The sequence below is a fragment of the Homo sapiens genome, chromosome 1 (genome assembly GCF_000001405.40).
Source record: "Homo sapiens chromosome 1, GRCh38.p14 Primary Assembly".
In the NCBI taxonomy this organism is placed as follows: Eukaryota; Metazoa; Chordata; class Mammalia; order Primates; family Hominidae; genus Homo; species Homo sapiens.
Window position 1 is genome coordinate 221907057 of NC_000001.11, and position 20432 is coordinate 221927488.

The window sequence follows — 20432 nt, forward strand, 5'->3', positions numbered from 1 at the left end:
TCCGATGCAACAGCTGGAGAAAATAACCTAAACAAATAAACAGGGCCCATCTAGGGGAAAAAACGTCCTCCAAAAGGGCAGCTTAATAAAGTACATGTGTTCAGTTGATTGTGGGGAGAAATTATATTATTTTGCTCTGGCATATTATATTTGTATGTAAACATCATATTTTCAAATAGGATTGTGTTCTCAGCCCAGCATCACCGGGAAAGGCAGAAGTGTCCTGAATGTTCAACAATATACCATACAGCTTCTTTTTATTAAAATCTCATTTCACTGGGATAGCTCCTTTGAGAGAGATGTGCAGAATAATGCTAGGAAATCAGTGAACCAACACCACTTAATTATATCACGCATATTAAAAATTCCTGCTTATGCATTCGCTATGCACTTTGCTGCACTTAGTGCACAGGGAGAGCAAGGACGTCATTGGCTCGGGAGCTTGGGATAATTATTTTTTTTCCTTTTTTCCTGTTCCCTCCTTTCCAGCTTTTTTAATCAAATAAGAGACGGGGCAAATCAAAGTTATTCAGTCTTCACCCCCTCTTTGCAATGCTACCACTTCAAAAGTGTTTTATTTGGCTCCTTTCATCAACAGAGCTCTGAATGATCAATGGGAAATAACTGCTAAGTCACCCAGCACAGATTTTCGTCATGACCTGTTCCTGCTCTGGACTCAGCCCCAGCCCTGGGGAGCTTCTAAACCATGTGTTCAGCTCCTTCGGGACCCACTTGATTACCCTGGAAACAGCAAGACAGCTCCAGCTCAAAAATCAGATGATGCTAGGATTTTTTCATTTTTTATTATAAGATTAAAGGGAAAATGGTTACCCCTATGGCTTGACAAACACATATAGTTTATTTCAAAGATGGGTAGCTGTGGGAAAGAAAGGAATATCTGAGCACATGATTTTATCCAATTATGGCAAGATTTAGTATAAATCAAAAACACCAATCCTGAATTCTTGTAGCTGATTAGATCTTCATTCTTTCATTCATTGTAATAGAAATAGTGGCAGGAGCCCATAGTGCCAGCTACCTTGGAGGCTGAGGCCGGAGGGTCCCCAGAGCCCCGGAGTTTGAGTCTAGTGTGGGCAATATAGTGAGACCCTGTCTCCTAAAAAAAATACATAATTTAATGGACAGCTACTTTGTGCTGTGTTCTGTGCAAGGCACTAGTATTGGAGAGTCCATTGACAATCAGAAAGAGATCTTGTTCACAGAGGAGAGTAATGAATTAACAGAGGAAATGAATGTGTGTGGATTGTTCTAATACCAGATAGAGGGCGGCAGCAATGATGGCAGAGGTTGACCTAGAATGCTATTGTTTCAAGAGAGGGAGAGTTTCCCTTGGCTTGATGATCCAAGGAAGACTTGTTAAAGAAAATGTTATTTTATCTGGGTCTTGAAGCATTAGCAGAATTGCACACAGGGAACATGCTAAGAGGAAGAAAAGAAATTTTCAGGCAGAAGGAATAGCAAGCATACACAAAGGCCAAGTTAGAGAACGTGGGGACTGTGTTAGGAACCCAGTGAATAGTTTCAGGGAAGGAAAGGAGCCTGAAATAAAGTAGCAGATGAAGTGGATGTCAGGGAGTTCCCAAGTGCCTGACAATTTCATCAATTCTCTTTGATGGTAAACAAAACAAGACAAAACCCTAGAGGCAGTTCTTTGTACGGAAGTCCTTCAGTTTTGGGTCACGTGGCCCTGTTACCCTGCCTGAAGGCGGCCTCTTTGTTTGTGCACCATCTCTTGTCTACATAATCTGCTCTTCTGCTTACCCGTGCTTTCTGTTCAGCTTGCATATGGCATTGTCTGGCCCTGGTGTGACTGCAGCCTTGAAAGACTTAACACAGTTTTCACCTTGCATCTCCTTACCTAAGTGTCTTTGTACCTCAAATCTGAATTCTCAAAAAAAAAAAAAAAATTTGTCGGATTGGACTGATTCAGGTACACATTTCTAGTTCCACCAGTTGTGACTGGAGAGAATGGCACCCCAGGGCAAATACGGCAGCCCATGTCCACCCCTGAAGCAGCTGCTATACGTAAAAGTGATATCAGTAGGCATTTACCCCAAACAATAATCATAAGTTTCTAAAATGTCACAAATGTCTGCAAACACTTAAGAAGATAAGGAGGTCTGCAATGCATACCTTTAGAAATTATTTCAGAAAGGTAAGAAATTTGAAAGTTTTGGCATTCACAGAAACGACCTTCAGTTACGTGAACAATCGCGATATCGAGATGTTTGTAACTCCGCACTGCTGAATAAATGAGATGATTCACTCCCTTGAGTCCCCATGACCTCTCTGAGATTCATGGATGTAATAATTTGCTTCATTGCTCTCCACTCCAAGATTCCCAATAGTATGTTAAGTAGGAAAACAAAGCCTTTCTTTACCTCATCCCGTATGCATTCAAATCACTTGTAGTGTGCAGAACATAGTTTATGCATCCACTTATGTAAACTTACCAGGATTATGAACAGAATATATTCTCACCAGGCAAGGGCAGTGTTTTACTTTTATAGGATACATAATCTGATAAACAGTGTCGGCAGAAAAAGGGATTTTACCAGGTAATGGTTAAGAAAGTGGAGGGGGACTGCAAATAGATACTTTAAAAACCTTTTTAGCGCTGGTTGCCTTTCCTTTATAAGGTTACCACAAAGCCAACTAATGTTACAGTGTCTGATGATTTTAATGCACCAATATTGGCTGTAAATTCCTTTCCTTGGGCGAGGATGCACAGATCAAAATGCAGCTGCCACTACTGCTGCTTCCAGCATACCACTAAATTTGACTAGCTTGCCCCAATAGTTAATTGATTAAGTGATAACTGATTATGTGGGTGTGAGCATGTTGTGCACCTATAACACACACACACACTACCAACAGCAGAAAATTAAGCTCATCATTCCTATGAACATATATGACTGTTAAACCCATAGATCTACCACTATAGTTGACTCCTCTGACAGCCCCAAACTTAAATATGATCCGTGTTTTCCCATCAATAAGGTGGTGTACTATTAACTTGGTTTTTGTGATTCTTGAGGTAATCTAGAAATGTTCTCTATGTTTATAATCTTAGCATACCAATTTTACTAAAAATGTCCTACTTACATCCTGCAGGCATCCAGGGCTCAGCTAAGATTTTCTGCTTCCAATTAAAGAGAAGAATTGAAACATTTAGGGAAAATATTAGGCTATCCAATGAGTGTCAGTAGCTGAAATTTTCTACTAGTACAGATAATAAGAATTATTTTGCTATGTGAGCCTGATCTGTTTCCACAGTACTTGAAACGTCACAATGTATGTAAATCCGAGGAGTTAGTTGTAAGTTAGAGCTGAAACCGAAAGGAAACAGAAGCAAAGAAAGCCCCTGTAACTGAGAGGGGCTGATTTCCGCCAATGGTCACTGAATTTGATTCTGAGTTTCTCAGTGGCCAAAGCCAAAGGGGCTCATGCTTTGTTACTGAGGCAGTGTTTTAAGGCTGCAAACCAATGATTTTTAAAACATATTGGTCCAAAAGTCAATTGCTTGAGGCTAAGAACCAAGAGAATATGTCCACTATTTAGAATATATGGACTGATAGCCTTGAAATTTGTAATAAGAGAAGCAAACTGTTACATATGTTTTCCTTTGGTATTAAGTGCTATAGATTATGGAATGTGAGCAATTCCACCTTCTGTTGGCCACAAAAGCATGTACCTCACCCTATAATAAATGAATCAACCTGGAAAGGGATGCAATGTGCATCTGTACCAACTTGCCAAGTGTTATCCACCCATGACGGAAAATGAGGGCGCTTTTCCAGGGCTACTCAAGTTATTCTCAGAGGCCCCCAGGGGCCTCAGGATTCTTCTGCAGTGGCCCCTTCATCAAGGTCAAGCACCACATTACCCCTCCATCACCAAGGTCCCTGTGGGACTGCCACTGGTCTGGTCTCCATCTCTGCTCATTTGGAGGCTCTTGTCTCCCTGCAAGTGCTTTCCTTAATGCTCTCCACAGCAAACCTGGGACAAGGTCCACTTTTTAAAAAAGATTTTGTTTTGAATGTCAAAGATAAAGAAATGAAAATAGACTGGCAAATTGAGACTTACAAATATTCGCACTCTTTACTTTTCCTAAAGCCCACAGACACGGGTCCTAAGGAGTCTTAACCTTCCTCCTGATCCATCCACACATAGAATTCCTCGAGGTTCTGAGTCGTGTGCTCTTTTAGGTCTCTGGCTTGCTCCTGCAGAAACCTAGAAGGCTCTTGCTTCTTCCCCTTCCCCTGGTTCACGCGACACCAATCTTGGCCTTGTCTCAAGTGTCATTTCCTCCAGGAATGTACCCCAATAAGCCTCTCACTGCCTAATCAGGTCAAGGCACCCTGTGTTACCGTCACTGCTCAGTGATCTTTCATTTCACATTTCATAGTTGTGCTTTTATTTTTCATGTTTAAAAAGCGATTTGTCACCCAAAAGAAGTAGAATCAGGGACTCAAACACCTTTGAACACCTGTATGTTCATAGCAGCATGATTCACAATAGCCAGAAGGTGGAAGCAACCCAAGTGTCCATCAACAAATAAATGAATAAATAACATGTGGTGGATTCATACAACAGAATATTACTTAGCCTTAGAAAGGAAGGGGATTTTGACACATGCACAACCTGGATTAACTTTGAAGACATTATGCTAAGTGAAATAAGCTCATGACAAAAGGACAAATAGAAGATTCTACTTGTATGAGATATGTAGAGTAGTCAAATTCATAGAGATAGGAAGTAGAATGCTGGCTGTCAGGTGCTGTGAAGACAGGAAGATGGGGGTTCTTGTTTGACAGGTATGGAGTTTCAGTTCAGCAAGCTGAAAAGAGCTCTGGAGATGGATGGTGGTGATGATTGCACAACCATGTGAATGTACTTAATGCCACTATGGACGTGTAAAAATGGTTAAGATGGTAAAAACTTATGTGTATTTGACCACAATTAGAAATAATAAATAGACAAATAAAATTGATTTTTAAAAAGCCATTTAATACTTATCTCCCTCTCCTAGACAATAAGCTTTCCAAGGATAGAAGCTGTGTCTACTTTTTCAGTGTTGTTTTCCTGTACCTGGCATGTAGTAATCACTCCATATGTACCTCTTGAAAATAAGATAAATGAGTGCATGGCAGGACTAGATCATCCTCTTTTTACAGGGCCACTAAATATATCTGTGTCTCACCTTCACATTACCTCTTGAGACCCCCCTACACCAGGCAGGAAAAATGTCCACTTCACTGTGTAATTTTCATCATTCAAGTTCTTATTTCCTTCATATCTGCCTCCACCCAGGATGAGTGATGATGAGTCTCCCACCCCCACACACCCTTCTAGGGAATCCCCCAAGAAGCATGGCCTCATTCTTTGGCCTCAGAAGAACAATCTTATCAGAATATGATATCACAACATCAGTACACTTTCCAAAAGCTTGGTCATTCTATCTGATATAACCCTACCATTAGGACAAAAACCATTCCATTGGGAATAGCTGTGATGAACTCAGGACAGTTCTCTACACCAGTGAATGGAGAACAGCATGTTGGTGAGTCCTTTCTAAAGTCTTCTGTGTCAATACTCAGTTCCTATAAGTAACTACTCTAGCCAAAATACCTGTAAGAACTGACTCTGTAAGGACACACCATAGTTTTCAGCACAGGGTACTCTAAACTCACATAGAGTCCCCCAAAACTGTATGCTCCCCATTTCCTTTCCTCTTAAAAATTCTAGAGCATGAAAGAAAATCAATACAGTTTTGACCCAGCCATGCACAACAATTTACACTACCTATGTTACCAAGCAGGACATTTATTTTTCAATCTTAAATATTTTGATTTAGATTAATGACACTTGAACTTTGCCTCAAAACTTGAGGAACAATTGGTAACCAATTGGTGTATTTCAACTGGTCCTAGAACAAAGGGACTATCTTCCCTAAATAAATATTAACATTTTTAATTTTAATTATATATCAAATAGATTTTAAGTTTAAATGGTAGGTTTTATAGTTCTTACCCATCACGGTTACAGAAATCTCTGGCTTTGATTTTTAACCAAGACACACATTATTTCTACACATGCCCAGTACTTAGGTGCTCACCTTCTTGTTAAATCTGTGCTTTTAAAAAATATCTCTTCAATTCTTGCAGAAAGTATCAACCGTGTATAGGTTTCTTTATTAAAGATATTTCTTTAATATCTCTCTCCAATATTTAGTAATACCTTTTCCAATCCTGAATTTTTATCACAGAAGAAGCCAGCAACAGAGAATAGGAAATTGTCAACCTCATGTCAGAGCTTACAGTGAATTTTTGAAAACCCACAGCTTTAATCTACAAATCCGGAAGTTTTCTTGTTTTATTTCTCTCCCCAACAAAATATACTTATTGCCTCATTGTAGCCATAAAACCTGGGGAGACAAATCCATCTCCTACTCTAAGATCCTTCCCAGATTCCAATCACCTCTGAATCATACTGAGGCCACTTTCTACAAGGGTGACCTAAGCAAACCTTGCCACATATACCATCTTCCCATATCACACACTGAGATAAGACGACCACTGCAGACATTTAATCTTGTGCAAACAATGATCTCTGTTAGAAGCCACTGAAATAGAAAACTAAATATTCTGCTGCTTTTGAAAAAATTCAGGTAGATGGTATTACCTATCTTGTGACCTGAAGATGCTTCTTGCTGTGTGTTTCCCCCATGATGGTTTGTACCAGGAAAAGACGTAGTCAGCATACCTGTGTGATTCAGGGACTGCAATGAAAATTGAGCCATCAGGAACTGTTCTTTTTTGGCAGGCATCCCCAAAACATAGCAAACCATTCAGCAAAGAGGTACTACACAGAGGTGAGGTACAGGAGCCCTGGAACCAGCTAGGTTCCTCCCCAGCTGCTCTGCTTGCTAAGCACATGACTGTGTGCAAGTTGTTTAATCTCTTGCTGTCTCCATTTCTTCATCTATAAACTGGGGGTAACAGTTGTCTTTACTTCAGAGAATTGTGATGGGGGAAATTGAATAGTGCATGCACAGTGTTCACAGTATCCTGTGAATGGGTCACGGTTTACGTGCTCTATTTTACATTTAAAATGTAGTATCCTTACTGCATACCCAGCATGCACTAAGGACCCAATGAATATTGGCTAATGTCACTATTTGCTTCTTTCTTTAATTGATTTCTAGCTCCCACTGTTTTCAAGGACCTTAGCTTAAACCCGATTCTTTACATTGCACATCACCTCTTCTCCTCTCCTCTCCTCAGTTACAACAGGAAAATGAAATGTCCCCTCCCTCCTCAGCTGAACAATCATTTATATTCACCTGCTCTATCGAGGCCTAAGAGGAAACCAGCTATGGAGAGAATTCAAAAGTAGAAAGCCCGGTGAAAGGTCTCTCAGGAGTGCGAAGGCCATTTTTTCACTGGTTTGCTCTGCAGAGGAAAATAAAATGGACCTGAAACAATTACTCTGAAAAATGATTTGGGGGTGGGCAAAAGAATCTCATTCAATATTTGTGTGTGTGTGTGTGTGTGTGTGTGTGTGTGTGTGTGTGGTTTTTTTTTTACCTATGGGAGACCAAGATGCCTTAAGTCTGTAGCTTCTCTTCAATGCAGGTAAATTGTGTGCCCCAAGCCCACTAGTGGCTAAACTAATAAATTGATCTAGTATTAGTTTAGTCAAAGAGTTGTCAAAATGAATGAAAGACTCCGGGCTGTTTCTTTCTACCTAACATGGCTCTATCTTGCTCAGTTTTATTTGGGGTTCTTAGTGTGGGGGCACACAGAGGAAGCAGATGGGGAACCTGTCAAAGCTTAACTCTCTGCCATTGAACTACTGAGGAATTAAAAAGTAACTATAACTAGTAGCCTCACCAAATGAAAGGCTGTGCTAAGATCACCGTGAACATTATGAATGGCACTGAAGCTCCATATAGGTTAATGAGAAGGAGTAGTGAAAACAGTCAATGATAAGAAGTTCCATTCACTTTACCATCCTTCTCTGAAAAACTCCTCAGGGGTGGGACATGGTCTGAAAGGTAAGTATGAGGACACATGAGTCACTTAGTGATTTTCCTGAAGTAGACAGCACCACGAGTAGGTGGGCTTAGCTGAGAAGGGTTGAGGGGACAGACAGCCCACCATACCCATTTGCCCCATGAAGCACGTTGCAAATCTTCTCTGCAGTCTTCTGTGTCAATATTTATCTCCTATAAACAACTGCTCAAATGTTCTGAATGGTGGGGGAGAATGTTTACAAGAAGGGGTTGTTCTGTGTGAAGGCACCTCCTTCCCCTGGTCCCAGCAGGCTGTGACGTGAGTTTGGGCTACTCCTGGTTACCAGTCATTCTCCTCTCTGTGCAAGACAAGGAACAAAGAAAGAGCAGGTGTGCAGTGGAGTTGGGGATGTTGAAGAGTGTTGAGCATAACCGCTGGACTTTTCTGTCATTCTGAGAGCTTTCCTGAGAAAAAGAATGTCCATGTATATCATAAGCTTGAAATAATAGACTGACGGGGGAGAGATGTATGGCATGAGTAGCAGGGCATATGGTTGGGGACTCTATACGACTAGTGGGGTAGATTTCCAAGTAGTGCTCATTTCCTTCAGGTCTCTGCTCAAAGGTCACCTTATCTGTTTCACATGAAATAGCCTCCATCCACTTCTCCATTGACACTCCCCACCCACTTTACCTTGGGTATAGTACTCTGACATTCTCATCACCACCTGACATAACCATGCATTCACTTGTCCATCTGCTTCCTCCAGCCAGGGCATAAGCCTCAAGAGAATCAAGACTGCTGTGTTCATTGCTTCATAATCAGCACCCAAGACAATGCCTGGAACATAGTGGTGTTCAGTAAATATTGCTGACGGAGGAGTAAATCTGTTGTATCTGTTTAGTTTTTACACAAGACTCCTGGGAAGAGAAAAGCATGCCAAGCATCAACTTTAGAATAGTTTAATCTTCTCATTTTACAGACAAGAAAACTGAGGCTGAAACAGGTCATGGCTTATGCCAAGTCTGGCTGATGCAGAGAATGAGGCTGAGGCTCCATGGTCCACGAGCAGCCTGTCCTCAAGAGCATAGACAATTTTGCTGAGCACATCTGACATATGACAGGGTGATGGAGAGGAGCTGGAAGGACATTTCCTGGGCACGCCTGAGACATTCCCCAAATGAAAAGGAGAAAATTGAATCCAGAGACACTGAACAAATGGGAAAAGAAGGAACGACCATGCCCCTGTCTGACAGGCTGCCCGCCTGGGGATGGCAACGGGAGAAAGCAGATGGCTGCGCTGGCACACAGCAGCTGGCTGGAGCAGTACAAATTGAGCACCCTTGGTGAATATCATTAGGGTAAGTGGTGCACTAAAACACCTAGAGGAAGAACAAGCAAGCAGAACACACACACACACACACACACACAGACACACACACACACACACACACATGCATTTTTAAATTTTCAGTTTATTCTTTCAATTTCCCTTCACTACAAGGTAGGCTCCATGAAGACAGGGCCTTTGTCTGTCTTAATAATTATTAGTTGGATACATGAAAAGATGAATGAATTAATTATTAAGCATCTCCCATAACAGACATAGTGCTAAGCATAGAGGATGGTTTCTGCATCAGGAGGAATCACAAGGGGAAATAAATAAGACCTTCAACTACCAAGTGGTGTGTTTAGTGTTATGAAGGAGCTGAAAGGGTCCCAGAAGAAGCTAGGCTTTGGGGGTCAGGAGGTCTCAAGAAACGCACCAGGTGGTGGTTGAAGATTAGCTCAGGTATTACAAGAAAAGCCTAAATGGATCAGAAGTAGAAGACGGAGAACTGAGAGAATAGCATGTGCTAAAGCCAGAAACAAGAGGGGGCTAGAGGAACTCCAAGCAGCACCATGTCATGTGGAAGGGACATAGCCTTTTGAATTAGACAGACCCAAGTTCAAATTCTAACGCTGCTCCTTACTACCTGAGTATTTTTGAACAATTTACTCTGCTAGACTGATCTTTGGTTTTAAAAATCGGTAACATAGGAAAAATATTGCCAGCATTTCAGGTTCTTCCAAGGATTACATGAGATCGTGTTTTCTATAGAGGATGACATGGTTGAGATCAGGAATTGCTGGCTGCTACTCTAGTGTGGAATCGGGGAAAGGTGGCCTGAACCAGCAGGCAGGGGTCAATTCATCTGTGGCTTGAGGGTCCCAGGAGAATTTTGTACTTTGACCAGGAGGCATGAGGAGTAGTTGCAGGGTTTTAAATAAAGGGATTATGAGAGTGCAGGCAATGAGAGTTTTTAGTAGTCACTCACAATAATCCTGGAAGGAAATAAAGGTCTCTCCAAGGAAGATGCAATGGGAATGAAGAGGAGAGGATGCACATAGGATACACAGGAGGAAGAACTGATAGGACTTTATTACTTATGGGTCCTATGAAAGGAAGAGACATCTAGAACTATTTCTACTCATACTTCTTAGTAAGCTCTTCAGATGAGAGTCAGAACCAAACTCTTTTTTAACAGCGGGCAATAAAATAAGTACAGGATCCAGAGTAAAGGTTTACAATGTTTTATAGAAAGATATTTTAATTTGAATTTTATGAAAGTATCAATCTGCAATAGATTCCTCATTTTAGTTGAAGAACCATTGGTTTACAACAGTGCTGTCCAATGCAAGCCACGTATGTAATAGGTGACATTTATGTTAATATTATTTTTTATTTAACCTTATATATCCAAAGTATTTTCATTTTGTGATAGTTAATATTGAGTGTCAACTTGATTGGATTGAAGGATGCAAAGTATTGTTCCTGGGTGTGTCTGTGAGGGTGTTGCCAAAGGAGATGAACATTTGAGTCAGTGGGCTGGGAGAGGCAGATCCACCTTCAACTGGGTAGGCACAATATAATCAGCTGCCAGTGCAGTAGGATAAAAGCAGGCAGAAGAACGTGGAAAGACCAGACTGACTGAATCTTCCAGCCTTCATCTATCTCACATGCTGGATGCTTCCTGCCCTTGAACATCAGACTCCAAGTTCTTCAGTTTTTGGACTCTTGGACTTACACAAGTGGTTTGCCAGAGGCTCTCAGGCCTTCGGCTGCAGACTGAAGCCTGCACTGTTGGCTTCCCTACTTTCGAGGTTTTGGGACTCAGACTGGCTTCCTTGCTCCTCAGCTTGCAGAAGCCTATTGTGGGATTTCACCTTGTGACCATGTGAGTCAATAACCCTTAATAAACTCCATTTCATATGTACATGTATCCTATCAGTTCTGTTCCTCTAGAGAACCCTGGCTAATACACATTTCAACATGCAATCAATATAAAAATATTAATGAGGCCAGGTGCAGTGACTCACGCCTGTAATCCTAACACTTTGGGAGGCCAAGACAGCCAGATCATGAGATCAGGAGTTCGAGACCAGCCTAGCCAACAGAGTGAAACCCAGTCTCTACTAAAAATACAAAAAATTAGCTGAGCGTGGTGGTGGGTACCTGCAATCCCAGCAAATCAGGAGGCTGAAGCAGGAGAATCACTTGAACCCAAGAGGCAGAGGTTGCAGTGAGTCGGCTTGCACCACTGCATTCCAGCCAGGATGACAGTGCGAGACTCCACCTAAAAAAAAAAAAAAAAAAAAAAAAATATATATATATATATATATATATATATATATATATGAGATATATTGCATTTTTGTAATAAAAATCCAGGGTATATTTTACAATTATAACATAGCTAAATTTGTAGTAGCCACATTTTAAGATCTCAGTAGCCACATGTGCCTAATGGCTATAGTGCTTAGTGACACAGCTATAGTGCTGAGGTGGATGGTCACAGGTGATTGAGTGGATGGTCATACTTTAACCACCTCTTAGAAGAAGCACAGCGTTAGAGGGAAATGCTTGTTCCCCACTCTCCTAATTTTGCTTCAGAGAGATTTATTCTAAACATACCAAGCCTCTTGCTTTACCCCTTACTCCTCGCCTAGAAAAGTAGAGTGAATTTCCTATGGATAGTTTTGGGAAAATAAGCCAGGCATGTCCATCTAAGCAACTCCATCCTTCTCCTTTAAAAAGCCAGCCTGACGTGGTAAACAAGGGACCTGTGCTTCTCCTCTTGGGTACCCCCTCCATGTGGGAAGGCCTGCCGTGGCCTGGCACAGCCTTGATCCACAAGGTAAATTCTCCTAGTTCTGAGGTTGTGCCTGCAAGCTCCTTTGACACAAAAGTCATATTATCCAAATTATTCTTTATCATTCATAAAGACAATTCTCAGCCTCCAGCTCTGTCTGCATTAGCAGAGGCTGCTCCTAGGGACAGGTGTAGAAGAACAGGGTCTCTGCAAAGGCATGGGCATCTCAGGAGAGGATTTTTGAGGTGCTGGTGGCTATAGCTTGACATTAAATTAGCAAATGGCCTAAGTACACATGTGTGACCCATGCAGAGACTGAGCAGATGCTGGCAGGCCACAGAGTCCTTAGTAAGCACAGCTGTGGTAAGGATTCTATTATAGAAAAAATAAAATTTTCTTTCTGCCATTGTTTTAGACTTCAGGGAAGGTACAATACTTGCTGTTTTTAAACTTCAAAAGAGTTGAGATCCACGTGTATCTCAGAAAACTAGGGAAGTAAATTGTTAATGTCAAAATTGTCAACAGTGTATTAGCTGCCCCAAACTCCATTGTATATCCTTAAGAAGAGAATGATGGCATAACTAATCTTGGGGTTTAGTTGTTTTGCTCTCAAACTCAAGAATGAGCCACCACCAAATGTTCTCAAGCTAGTTCATGATTACTTAAGAACATACGGTGGAGACAGCTTCTTAACCTTCAGCAGCTCCACAGTCATATTGGTGTAGGATTGTATAACACCTGTAAAAAAGAGAATGTGGTTTCTCTGCAACTAAATATATTCCATGCTCAACTTGTTCGGTTCAGAACTGAAGAAGTAGGTCTGTATAATTCTGGGGCTCATCTGTCACTCACACAAAATAGTGCCCTCCAATTTAGCATTTCTAAGCAATTATGGTGATATTTTGGCTTCCAACTAATTATTTTTCATTTCACATTTTCTACATAAAGCTCTGAAAAAAATAAAAGTTTCGTTTTGGAGATACATATATATATATATGTATATATATGTATACATATATATGTATATATATGTGTATATATATGTGTATATATATATGTATATATATATATATGTGTGTGTATGTATATATATATATATATACATATATATATATATATATATATATAGTTTTTTGTTTTTTTTTTTTTTGAGTCGGAGTTTTGCTCTTGTTGCCCAGGCTGGAGTACAATGTCGTGATCTCGGCTCACCACAACCTCTGCCTCCCGGGTTCAAGCGATTCTTCTGCCTCAGCCTCCTGAGCAGTTGGGACTACAGGCATGCACCACCACGCCCAGCTAATTTTGTATTTTTAGTAGAGATGGGGTTTCTCCATGTTGGTCAGGCTGGTCTCGAACTCCCGACCTCAGGTGATCTGCCTGCCTTGGCTTCCCCAAGTGCTGGGATTACAGGCATGAGCCACCGCTCCCAGCCCTGGATATATATTTTTAAACGCCAGAGAAATATCAAATCATTCTACAGGTAATTGACTACATTGTCTAAAGATATTAAAATTAATTTGAGTAGAGATGAAGATGTGGAAGTAATCAGAATGCACACACACACACACACACACACACACACACGTATATATATGATGTTTGAAGACATAGATATAAGAAGTCCCCCAAGAAGCTTTTAAGAGAAGAGAGGGGGGTAAGAGCTGAACTCTGAAGAATACTAACATTTGAGGGATATACAAAGAAAGGAAGGAAACTAAGAAATTTCCAGAAGAAAGTAAGAATATGATGTTTCTATGGATGAAGACAGAAAGAATGTTTTAAGAAGGGAATGGCTGACTGAGTGTAAATAATATTTATAATCTTATTCATTCAACAAATATTTATTGAGTATCTATTATAGGCAGAGACTATTCTAAGCACTGGCAATTCAACAGTGAATAAGACAATATCTTTTCCCTCATGGAGTTTGTGATCTAGTGTAAATTCACACAGACAAAGTAAGATAAGAAAGGACTGAAAGTGATCCATTGGGTTTGACCATTTATTAATTATTAGGGACTTCAGTAAAAGGAAATTCAATGGTGTAGAGGGATAACAGCAGACAGGAGTGGGTTTATAAGTCCATGGAGCTGGGCAGTAATGAGACAGGGTGGTAGCTGGACAATGTGCAGTCCATAGTGGGTGATGGCTATGGAGAATATTCAAGGGAGGAAGGTAGGAAGAGCCAGCAGAGACAGAAACAAAAGACCAAAGGAAGAAGATACAAAGTGATCTGTCACTGATAAACAATGCATGAGTAAATACAATAAATCCTCAACTAATGTCATAGATAGGCTCCTAGAAACTGCTACTTTAAATAGAACAACATAAAATAAAACCAATTTTACCATAGGAGAATTAATATAAACAAGAGTTCAGTTCTTAAGGCATATTTCTTGTCACAAAAACATCACCAAACTTCTAAATAAAGGCCAAAACACTTCTAATATTAAACATTGAAATAAATGTGAGCTATACATACATTAAAGAGAGATTAATGAAAACAAGATAATCATTTACGCACTTATTTCAGCTCAGGGTTGCAGGTGGTTGGAGCCTATCCCAGCACTCAGGATGCAAGGCAAAAACCCACCATGGCCAGGCCACCATTCCATCACAGAACACAGGCACACACGCAACCACGCTCACTCACACTGGGACCATTGAGATACCCCAAGGAACTTAGCAGGCGCAGCGCTGAGATGTGGGAGGAAATCAGAGTACCCAATGAAACTCACAAAGCCACAGGAAAATGTGCAAACTCCACACAAACAGTGGCCCTGGCTAGGAACCAATTTTGTTTTCTCACCAACCAAATTGGCATTGATAAGACGCAGGAGAATACTCCTTGATCATAAGGATCTCCCAGGCTAGCATAACAACTGAATGAGTGACTCAAATGCTGATCATCATGTATGGAATGAGACATGGTTCTAAGCACATACAGGGAATATCCCGTGTAATCTTCCCAGCACACCATGCAGGAAGGACAATTATTGTTCCCCTTTGACAGGTGAAGCCACTGAGGGATAGAAAGGTAAAGCACCTGGCCCAGGACAAGCTGGTAAATGACAGAGCCAGAAATAACAACAAGACAGGCCACAAGTCCAGAGCCTGAGCTCTTACCCACAGAGCTTAACCTCATTTGCTTTTGTTTATCCCCATGCCATATTTTCACTGAAATTTTCTGATGAGGTGTCAACATCATTTATGTCCCCCAGAGTCAAGCCTTTGGTGCATCTGAAAAGTGAATTCATTTTTTTTTTTTGTTTTTTGACAGAGTCTTACTCTATAGCCCAGGCTGGAGTGCAGTGGCACGATCTCAGCTCACTGCAACCTCCATCTCCCAGGTTCAGGAGATTCTCCTGCCTCAGCCTCCTGAGTAGCTTAGATTATAGGTGCATACCACCAGGCCCAGCTAATTTTTATTTTTTATGTTTTGTATTTTTAGTAGAGAAATGTTGGCCAGGCTGATCTTGAACTCCTGACCTCAAGTGATCCACCTGCCTCTGCCTCCCAAAGTGTTGGGATTACAGGCATGAGCCACCGTGCCCTGGCCTGAAAGGTGAGTTCAAAATGAATGTTTTTCTTATGTTAGCAAACTCAAGAGTGACAAAGAAATCACCTGCTTCAAGAAAATTAACATAAGCTTGTAATCCCAATGCTTTGGGAGGCCAAGGTGGATCACTTGATGCCAGGAGTTTAAGATCAGCCTAGGCAACATAGCAAGACCCTGTCTCTATAAAAAAAAAAAAAAAAAAAATTTTAAATAAAATGAGAGGAGATGATAAACACTTGACCTTCTGTGGATTATTGTTGACCTGAGGGCTGGGTCACGGCAAGCTCATCTTTGCTTTCCACAACCTTGACAATCATGGAAGACTCTTGTAATTTTTTTCAAACAGGAAGTCTCTCAACACCTTCAGAACATTATCTGTGACTCTCACTTTACCTGACTCCAAAAGAAAATGGGTAGGTTAGAAAGAGAGACACACTTTAAAGCAAACCATGGAAAACATATGGAACTAGGACTGAGTGGAAAATTTTAAAGGTGTTTTATTCTCCAGAGATCATCAAATATAAGAAGAAAATAAAAATAAAGTAATGAACACACAAAAGGTTTGCAAACAATTAAGAAACATGCCAAATTCTTAGATGAGCAAGTCTAAAAATAATAATATATAATAACACATTCCATTAAGGCAATCCCAATAAATCTCACTAACACTTTGTTTTAAATTGATAAAATAATTCTAAAGTTAATCTCAGGAAAAATATATAAAAAGACAATAATGGTGGAGATTAGAAGAAGAGACACTTATTCTATCACGTAAGAAGCTGGGCTATAATGAAGCTACAATAACTGAAATCTGGTTCTGGGGCAGAACAAGACTGGCAGATCCATGAGACAGACACAGATAGAAGAATTTAGCATATGGTTAAGTTGTGATTTTAAATCAGTAGGAAAATGCTAAATTATACAATAAATCATGTTGGGTCAACTGGCTAGCAGTTTGAATAAAATGTAATTTAGATTCTTACCATGTATCTTATTCTAAAATAAATTCAGATGGATTAAATATTTAAATATAAATCAAGCACAGGAAAACACTAGAAGAAAATTTAAGTGGATATTTTTATAATTCTGAAATGGAAATATTTTCTCATCATGCCACCAAAACAAGAAACCATGAAGGCTAAATTTGAATACATAAGAATTCAAAACGTTTATGTGGCAAACTCACTATAACCCAAATTAAAAGAAAAATAAATTAATAAAACATATAACATGGCCTCTTTTGACAGAGTGCTGAGAAAAATGAGATGTCCGTGCTTCTGAGGAATAAAGTGTGGTTTCAATAATTCATGCAAGAAACATTTATTGAGCTGCTCTGAGTCAGGAACTCTTCTACGTGGCAAGGATACAGCTAAGCAGGGAGATGAGGTCCCTGATGTTACTGAGCTTAAAAACCATTTTTAATGTCATGGAGGAGTACTATGATGAAAATAAAGAGAGTGTTAGGGGCTCGTGAGGAGCTGGAGGTCAAAGAAGTTCGTTTTGAAGAGGCGACTGTTAACCTAAGGCCAGAAGGATAAGAAAGAGCAGCCTGGCAGAGATCTGGGGTGAGTGCTTTCCAAGTGGGGGAAATAGCCAGTGTAAGGTCATGAGGTAGGAAGAACCTGGCCTGTTGGAGAGATGAGAAAAAGCCAGGCAGCCAGAGAATGCAAGGCAGAAGGGAGTGTCATACAGGAAGAGACCGAGGAATTGGTGCAGGCTGTGGATCATGCACACCTTCCTAAGCCAGCGTTACCTTTTACTCTGAATATGAGAGTAGCCACTGCACCCTTTAAGCAGGTGACTGGCTTCTGGCTCCCTGAAGGAAGAAGCTGCTACTTCTACTTGCTTAGCAATTTCCAACCTTAGCCTACCTTAGCCATTTGCACATGGTGAGGCTCTAGGCATGTACCCCTCAAATCTAAATTACAGCACAAGGTAAATCCATTCAAAACCTCAGAATGGGAATGCAAGTATTCAGAGGTATTAATGTAGTATATAAAGAATCTCAGGGCTTGTCTACCAAATCCAATATACACTCACCATTCTCAGTCCAGTTAGCTCTTTGCTACCACTTCTTTTTTATTCATGTTTTTTCCAGTCTAGCCAAGTTGAAGGTCAATTTTACTTATGTTTTGTTTTAATTTTAACATCTGAGCCATTTTTGAATGTTCCATGTTTTATAAACAGATATATGGGCTTTCTTTTTTTAAAAAAATTTAAGTTGTCACATGAAAATCAACCAGAAGCTGAGATTGTTTGATTTCCAGGATTCACAAAGAAAATCATGTGCTTTTTGGAAGGGACTTACATGTGAATAGAGAAGGGACTGACATACATGGATATGAGTATATGTGTTTGTGTGTGTGCACACATGGGTATGGTGGGGGTGGGCAGAGAACCACAACACATACCATGGGCAACAGACACCTACATGTGGCCCAAACCAAACACAACTCCCCACAAATTCTCTGTGACTTCATTCTTTCTTCTCTCATTCAAAAAAGCAGTTATGTGAATTAAGGGAAATTTAAAAGGGCAGTTAGGTATGTTGAAAATGCAACAGAAGAAATAAACCCACTCTACCATTTGTAAAACACCTAATCATATATCTCATGATAGAATCCAGCTCAAAATTCAAAAGGCACAGGAAATTGTTATTCTCAGCAGGCATAGGCCCAAAGAACAGGAAAACCTAAAATATACTGTATGATGATAAAACAAAAAAACTACTGTGAATTATAAAGTAGTTAATAGAAACAACATAATCAGTAAGTCAATGAATAATAATAATCTTTATCTCTCATTTCCTCTCAAAGACCTAATTCAACAAATTAATCACTCAATGAATTGAGTTGGGGCGAATAGATCTGCCCCACTCAAGAGTGCTTGTTATTGGCTGGGCAAGTGACTCATTCCTGTAACCCCAGCATTTTGAGAGGCTGAGACAGAAGGATTGCTTGAGTTCAGGAGTCCAAGAGCAATCTAAGCAACATAGCGAGACCTCATCTCTACAAAAAGTTTAAAAAATTATCCAGGCATGGTGGTACATGTCTGTAGTCTAGCTACTCAGGAGGCTGAGGTGGGAGAATCTCTTGAGCCCAGAAGTTGGAGGTAGCAGTGAGCTCTGATTGTGCCATTGTATTCCATCCTGGGTGACAGGATGTCACCCTGTCTCGAAAAAAAAAAAAAAAGAGTGCTTGTTGCTACTATTTCAAATCTCATTGACTGTCCTTTCTCTAGCACTGAGAGCTGATGGTTAGGTAAGCTGGTATAAGATCCAGTCCCAGCACCCAAAGGAGCACAGAGCACATCTCTTCCTGTTTCTAAAGCCCAGGAAGGAAGCTTTGTCAACACAGTGTGGACCCTGAGCAGCTCCCCCTCCTTCAGAGCCCAGGCCATTTGTTTTGCTTAAAACATGAAAGAAAAAAAAGAAAAAAAATGCCATTTAACCCAATCATGTTTTTATTTTTATGAGATGATGGTATCATGACAAAGCTATTTTATAGCTTCTTTGTTAAAGAAGTTTGGAATATATAAAGAAAATGGAGTTTTAGAAAAAATAACAATGACCATATTTTAGTTTTAATGTCTTCATTTTTGTTGAATGAAACAATGGTTCTTGAGCTTATTTTTTACATTATATATAAAACTGTTTCAAAGGAGCCCTCTCTCTTCCACTCCACTCCATTCATTTAGCCAACATTTACTGAGTATTCACCGTGTATCAGCTAAACTTGGCCCAGTCAATGGTACAGAGTTCTTGTTTCCTTGGGGCCCATCAGCATTTAGACAATAAGTACAACAGCATGCATTATTACTGCCAAGATGGATGCTCTCCATGATACAGGCAGAGTACAGATGAAGATTAGTAAATCCGACCCTCACTCTCCAGGGATCTTTATCTCTCTTTTCCTCTCAAAGTTCAAGGGGAAACGAATTTGCAGTTAAACTTGACTACCGTGATTATATCTCTGCTCTTTCCAGTAAAGTGAGCCAAAAATGCAGGAATGGTGCAAATGACTAGAATGAAGAAAGGACTCTGAACCCATGGGGGCTGAAACATAATCGAATACATTTATAAGAATCAAAGTAAAATCATTTAATCTGTTAAATAACCCATCATGCCTGAAGCAAGTAAGTGGAAGGTGAAGGAAGAGACACTTTGTTACGAGGCATGAATGTTTAACTAAATCCACAAACACACACACAGGACATAGACACACACACCCAATCATGCACATCGTCACATCACACACACTCACACACCAATTCATATATACACACCAATACACACAGCCTCACACACTCCCTACCTGACAAAAGAAATATCGAAGACATCTAAATGTGGGGAAAGAGTTTCAGTGCTGGAACTGCAAATCCTGAAAGCCTTTTTCTTTCCACTACAAATCTTCTCAACCATCCTAAAGATTCATAGAAGCAAAAATGGAAAAGATCCCCAAGGAGCCTGCAGCAGCAGCAGGTTTGCATTCACTTGCTCCAGGATGATCACTTTCTTTGCCTGCACAACTAAACCTTGTTCTGACAGAGATATTAATGTCATCTTTGATTTCTATAACACATGTGTTTGGAAAAATCAGGGATTTCATACTGGTTGGTTTTTTAATACAATGTAGCATGATTGTTTGACTTTTATAGGTACAGATGCTATGACAGTGAACACTAAAATGGTCCCTGCCAAGT

At 40.2% G+C, this 20432-nt stretch overlaps 2 long non-coding RNA genes across 2 annotated transcripts in view; one reads left to right on the plus strand and one right to left on the minus strand.

The window, feature by feature from the left end:
- The window catches only part of LOC124904517 (uncharacterized), a 72424-nt gene extending 61128 nt beyond the window's left edge, over nucleotides 1-11296 (plus strand). The window contains exon 3 of the long non-coding RNA XR_007066885.1: nucleotides 9022-11296. This is a non-coding gene — a long non-coding RNA (uncharacterized LOC124904517). The remainder of the gene's footprint in view (nucleotides 1-9021) is intronic.
- The window catches only part of LINC02257 (long intergenic non-protein coding RNA 2257), a 64876-nt gene continuing 51032 nt past the window's right edge, over nucleotides 6589-20432 (minus strand). The window contains exons 2-4 of the long non-coding RNA NR_149057.1: nucleotides 11536-11656; nucleotides 7367-7475; nucleotides 6589-6802 (exon numbers count right to left, since the gene is read on the minus strand). This is a non-coding gene — a long non-coding RNA (long intergenic non-protein coding RNA 2257). The remainder of the gene's footprint in view (nucleotides 6803-7366; nucleotides 7476-11535; nucleotides 11657-20432) is intronic.